Source organism: Homo sapiens, chromosome 4, assembly GCF_000001405.40.
Source record: "Homo sapiens chromosome 4, GRCh38.p14 Primary Assembly".
Lineage (NCBI taxonomy): Eukaryota > Metazoa > Chordata > Mammalia > Primates > Hominidae > Homo > Homo sapiens.
This window is the reverse complement of record NC_000004.12, coordinates 170,280,984-170,287,375: the sequence shown is the minus strand read 5'-3', so window position 1 is coordinate 170,287,375 and position 6,392 is coordinate 170,280,984. Positions and strand designations below refer to the sequence as shown.

General features: G+C 37.9%; 1 long non-coding RNA gene across 1 annotated transcript in view; it reads right to left on the bottom strand.

Annotated features, from left to right (window-relative positions):
• Positions 1–3,652: 3,652 nt before the first annotated feature.
• LINC01612 (long intergenic non-protein coding RNA 1612) overlaps positions 3,653–6,392 on the bottom strand; it is a 57,133-nt gene continuing 54,393 nt past the window's right edge. The window contains exon 3 of the long non-coding RNA NR_125889.1: positions 3,653–4,625. This is a non-coding gene — a long non-coding RNA (long intergenic non-protein coding RNA 1612). The remainder of the gene's footprint in view (positions 4,626–6,392) is intronic.

The following is a 6,392-nucleotide window of genomic DNA, read 5'->3' as shown; positions in this document are numbered from 1 at the left end:
CCTGCCTCAGCCTCCCAAGTAGCTGGGATTACAGGCATGCATCACCAAGCCCAGCCAATTTTTTGTATTTTTAGTAGAGATGGGGTTTCTCCATGTTGAGGCTGGTCTCGAACTCCTGACCTCAGGTGATCCGCCCGCCTCGGCCTCCCAAAGTGCTGGGATTACAGGCATGAGCCACTGCGCCCAGCAATTTCTTTATTTTTATAAAGCTTTTTTATTTTTATAAAGCTTTGGCACAAAAATTGTTGTGACATGTTTCCTAATTGCATAAGGAGAGAGTGTTGCTTTTTAAAGTACATTTTTAAAGGAAGAACTTTTTAAAAATCTACAAAGTGATTTCTTACAAATGCCATTAGTCACAGAATTAAATGTGTTTTTCTCCAATTATTTATTTTACACTAAAATGTAATAATATTATTCTTCCTCTGGAGAGTACAGATGTTAAGGGATAGTAGCATGAAACATTTAAAGAAAGCTGTCTTGGAAGGCTGAGGCAGGAGGATTGCTTGAGGCCAGGAGTTCAAGACTAGTTGAGTAAATAGCAAGACCCTGTCTCTACAAAAATATGTAAAAATTAGCCAGGCACGGTGGCACGCAACTGTAGTCCTGGCTACTTGGGAGGCTGTGGCAAGAGGATTACTCGAGCCCAGAAGTTTGAGGCTACAATGAGCTATGATCGCACCACTGCACTTCAGCCTGGGTGACAGAGTGGGGCCCTGTATCAAAATGCTGCTTTGTCTCTTTATCCCATCCCAGCTCTTATGAGCCTAAAACTCTGTCTAAGCATAAAATGTGTCCAGCTTTAAATAAGAGAGATGGAGAGCAAGGAGAATCTTTATACATATATCTATATAACTATATTGATAGATACAAATACAGATCTTAAAGAAGTCAAAACATCCAGCTCAAAAATGTCACCTATGAAAATACTTAGGTCTCAGAAACTCATAAACCCCAAAAGATAAACAAACAAATAAAAAGACTTATCTACTTCTAATTCACCAAGCGCTGACATCCTCTTTAATCCTCATCTCAAAACCTCTCACACCTTGAATGTAGCCTCTCTCTGTCCCAAGATGAGATACACATCCTCCTATCTCCTCTATCTTTCCTATCCTGTTATGAAGTCCTATCTCTGTAGTGGCTCATTGTTCTGCTCCACACAGCCTTCCTAGTTTCCCTAGTTTGATTGCCTTTGATGCTTTCTCCAAGGATTCCTCTGAAAGAGCCACATGTACCAGGTCAACAAATTAAGCAAGACAGTAGCCTATGCACTCATCAAGGGAGGGAACAAAGTCTTATTCAACCCTCTATTCCATTTCCCCAGCATAGCAAGTACTAGTTGAAAATGTTTTTATTTTGTTTTGCTTTGTTCTTGCATTAATTGAGTCACTGGATGAAGAGAAAGAAAAGGAAACATATCTCCTCCCAATGACATTATCACAGCATAGGTCCTAGATGTTTATTGTCAGGAAGTCAGGCACCTGGTGAGGAAGTTAAACTGTTTTCCTCACCTCAGCACCCTCAGCCTGCCTATTACCTGGTTATCAGTCATTTGATTTACCTCAGTGGCTGATGAGGACAGAGGCTGAGCGGTCCTCACCTACTCCTTGCTTGTTAGATGCCACCTGCATCTATCTCTGCTTGACTAGATGCCACCAAGAAGCTATCTTGAGTCACTAGACAGACCCACCATTTCCACACTAACAGTCATCCAAAAGCTTTCACTTAGATGAATGGAGTAATTTATAAGCAAGATAGGAAAGACAGAAAGAAAGATGGCATAAAGAGTGCTGCTTCAGCCCTTTCAATAAGGTCCAGCTTGTACACCAATAGCCAGTCTTGTCAAGTGCTCACTCTCCATATGCACAGAAGCTGTTACCCTGCTGTTGAAAGAGCTGCAGGTTTTTGTGGTTTTTTTTTGGCACATCACCATTCATTACCAGGAATAAAAATCAGCTTCTTATTTGAAGCTCTTTTTTCATCATGGCCCATTGGCCATGACTGATGTTACTTTAAGTAATCCAGCTAAAACTGCTTAACCCCAGAAAACCTCATACATAGGAATTGCTTGCTCTAGTTAAGATAAAATCCAGAGGAGGCAGAAACTGTACAGGATAACAGGTGTCTTCAAACTTCCCCTTACCACCTTTCTTATATAGAAAGACACAAAAGCCTACTCTCAAGCCACACTTACTTACAAGTCATTACACAAATGTCCAAGAATCCAGAATTGTATCCTTATACAACCTAAATATTTCATAATACTGTTGACATTGATTCACCTCTTAAGATCATACCTTGGACAAGGATATGTGAGTTATTTTCACTGTAAATAATAAATACATCATTTTATATTTCATTTGTCATATCTCCCATTAAATCATTTCTTAAAAAGAAATCCAACAGCATCATTTCTTTTTTAATGTTGTTCCAATTATTCCTAAAATAATTAGAATATGGCTTACTGTATTCTTTTAGTAATCAATATTTCTTTTTGGCAAAATATTATGTGATTTTTTTAAATAAGATAATAGCTTCCATTACAACAAAATGACTATTTCTCTTAACATACTTGAACTTCATATGAAGATGGAACCAGCAAAAGGAGGAATGCTTTTGGCGATTTATTAACATTTAGTCAGTTAGATTTCACTTACAAGAAGGGCACCTGGCATCTTCCATTAGTTATATTATCACAATTGCAAGGGCTAAGATAATAGTGGCATATAGGAGGGAAAAAACTAAAAGAGGGATTTACTTTAAAATTAGCTCAAGATGCATGAAGTAAACAATTTTTAAAACCCATAAGTAGACAGCTAGCTAATAGTTATTACATTCAATAATTTAGCATGATATGCATGACGATTTTGACCTCCAAAATAATTTAGTGCCTTGAGCTGAGATTAAATGCAGAACATTAATTTTTCCCTCTGGTTGTCAAGCCAACCAAGAGACCCATCAAATCCATTTAAATAAAGCCTGCATCATGTAATAATATTAAAGGGAATAAAATATTAATATGGGCCTGTGGTAGAACATTGGCCAACAGCGCTGCAGTGAGGTGCCTTTAATTTATTACCCTGACAATCTGTCTTGCACTAAAACTAGGCGTTAAAGCACCATCTAAGAATTATTTTTTTGAGCTAGAAGATGGACCCATTTAAGAAAGGTCACAGTTCCTTCCACTGCACAGAATTTTTAGTATCTCCAAGCAAAAGAAGTCGAGTTCCACTTTAATTGTATGAACTTGAAGAGATAACAAAGTACAAATGCCCAAAACCCATTGTAATGAAAATGAAATTTTCAAAGAAAAGGGTAGACACTAACTCATTACGTGAGGCTTGATGAGCTTTCCCCCATAGTAAAAGTCCATCTAAATCAATGTATTATTTACATGCCACATACACCAACCTTCGTCAGTGCTCTTCTCCCAAACACATTCTGATTTTTATCTCTGAATACCATTTTTCTGGATCATTTTCCAATGGGTTTGCTAAGTTTTAAGTACATATTCTTAAATACTTTATCCTTATTCTAAAGATAATTTCCTTGCAAGAACCACACTTATTCCATATAAAAAATCTCAAACTGATGAGTAGGGAGGTTATAGATGGAGAAAAACAGTGGGAGAAACATGCGCAACGCATGCTTTGTTGTATTCAAGTGGTTGTTTTATTGACATGAATACTCAATAGTCATTCATTTTACTAAATGACAAATTTGTATAAATTCTTTAAAATACGTTTGGTTTACAATTTATTTTAAACATGCCAAACATACTCTTTAATCCTAGTCGTGTTATTTTTCCAGGTACATCACACACACACACACACACACACACACACAAAACAAAAGCCGGAGGCTGCCTTCTCGCTCCCCCATGGTCATCCACCACACAGAGCAGTAGATCTTCCTTTAAGCTGAGCTTCCACTAACTTCAAAGAATCTTCTCTGTAGGAGAACAAGGCATAAGACACAGTAGCAAACAGAAATCTGACCACAGGAAAAGAACCTTTAAAAAATTCTAAACAAAGCACAGAATTCTCCAAACAAAGGAATTGCTTGGCAACAATCAGGTCGGGCGTGAAATCACAAACGTTAGAGTGAAGCCAGACAGCTCACCTTCATGTGGAGAGGGAAGACAGCACAGTGATGACACAAAATCTCACAGCAACCACAGTGACAGGAGATAAGGAAACTTCAGATTTCCCAGGCTGACCTATAGTTAACTTGATAAAATGCAATGGACACCATTCCAATGTCTCAAAGAGTGGCTACAATCTTTCACAGCATGGAAGGCCACTTGTTTCAAAGAGTCAAAGGGTCAGCCGAGTTCTTTATTTCTAAATGTATGTGTTTATTAATGTTTTAATTTCTACAAAATAAGCTTCCTGAATTAACTAATTTGAGCTGTATCTATAATAAAGCTTGTTAATTAAATGTGAGGAAAGCTCAATGTTTACTTCATATCCACTTCTAATATGGACCTGCAACTCAGGAGATGTCATTATCACATCGTTTCTACAGCCTCTTATCTCATTGGCTAAGTGATCACATGCCAATCATCGCTGTGAGGTACTTTTCTTCTTTATCATATCCCCATCATAGAGGTCACAATTAACCTGGGAGAAAAGACAAAGAAAGTTGTATTAAGTTTACATTATTTGCCCAGATGAAAGCAGAAAACTATAGAGTAATGCAAAAAGTATCTCTGTCTCTGAAGGGCCATTATAAATTCATCTTCTGGAACAAAGGCAGACACACAAAGGTTTGTATGCGACTGTCTTCCTGGGCTGGCACGCTATAGAATTGCCAAGGTAAATGTTTGTTCCCTTATAGTACAGCTTTCCTTATAAACTTCCAGGCAGTGCTCGTGATAAATAGGATCATAAATTATTAATAAACAATCTAGGCTTAGAAGGTCCTAAGGGAAATTATATAAAAATATCTGACTGTAGGCCGGACGCAATGGCTCATGCCTGTAATCCCAGCACTTTGGGAGGCCAAGGCAGGTGGATCACCTGAGGTCAGGAGTTTGAGACCAGCCTGGCTAACATGGTGAAACCCCATTTCTACTAAAAAAAAAAAAAAAAAAAAAATACCAAAAAAAGAAATATCTGATTGTTTGGGATGCTTTTCATCCCAAAGACTTTTCCTCCAATCTATAAGTACATATTAAGAAGCTACCGCTGCTCTTTTTACTGTAAAGATACAGTGTAGCATGCATAAGCCTGTATTCAGAGACCTTATAATCCAAAGTGGTGGAAGGGGTAGGGTTGCCAGTGAAAATACAGGAAACTCAGTTAAATTTGAATTTCAAATAAACAATGAATAGGTTGTTTGTTTTTGTTTTTTTTTGAGACGGAGTCTCGCTCTGTCTCCCAGGCTGGAATGCAGTGGCGTGATCTTGGCTCACTGCAACCTCTGCCTCCGAGGTTCAAGCAATTCTCCTGCCTCAGTCTCCCAAGTAGCTGGGATTACAGTCACGTGCCACCATGCCTGGCTAATTTTTTATATTTTTAGTAGAGATGGGGTTTCACCGTGTTAGCCAGGATGGTCTTGATCTCTTGGACCTCGTGATCCACCCACCTTGGCCTCCCAAAATGCTGGGATTACAGGCGTGAGCCACTGTGCCCAGTCAACAATGAATAGGTTTTTTTCTTTTTAACTTTTGGGAAGTATTTGGATATACCTCTATATCTCAAATATTGCTTGGAACATTCTTATACTAAAAATTATGTTATCTGACAATTCAAAGTTAACTGGGCATTCTGTATTTTCACTAATACTTAAATTATTAATTTTTACATTTTTAAAAATTTTAACCTTTATTTATGCAAAATCTGACAATCCTAGGAGGGGGGCAATGATAGGAAAAGAAAAAGATGGGAAAAGCTACTGACTTATGGTAGGGAAGCAGGAATAATACCATTTATGGGATGCCTACCTGTGCCAAGAACTGAACTTAAACTTGTCAAAGAATTGTGACACATGTGTGTGTAAATGTGCTTAATCAAGACTTAATAAACACCCAAATAAATCATTTTAAAATAATAAAGCAGTAATATGGGTGAACTATATATGACTATATTAAATAATTAAGTTTGTGTAAGAGTTAAAGAAATAGGAAAGAAACATGAAACGTGGCTTGACAGTAAAGATGGGTTTATTTTAGATAAAACATGAGAGGGGCTTCTGGCCGATTTCAGTCAGGAGCACTTTCTCTTACAGACTAAGACTATATATTGGTTTTAGGGTGAGGGGGTTTATTACAAGCTTGGAATATTTCTGTGTGAGGGAGAAGTTTTATGGCAGGGTTGGAATGTCTCTGGGAGGAGGGGAGGTTATCTTGGGGCTGACGACATCTTTCTAGCCAGAGGAGTGTTATC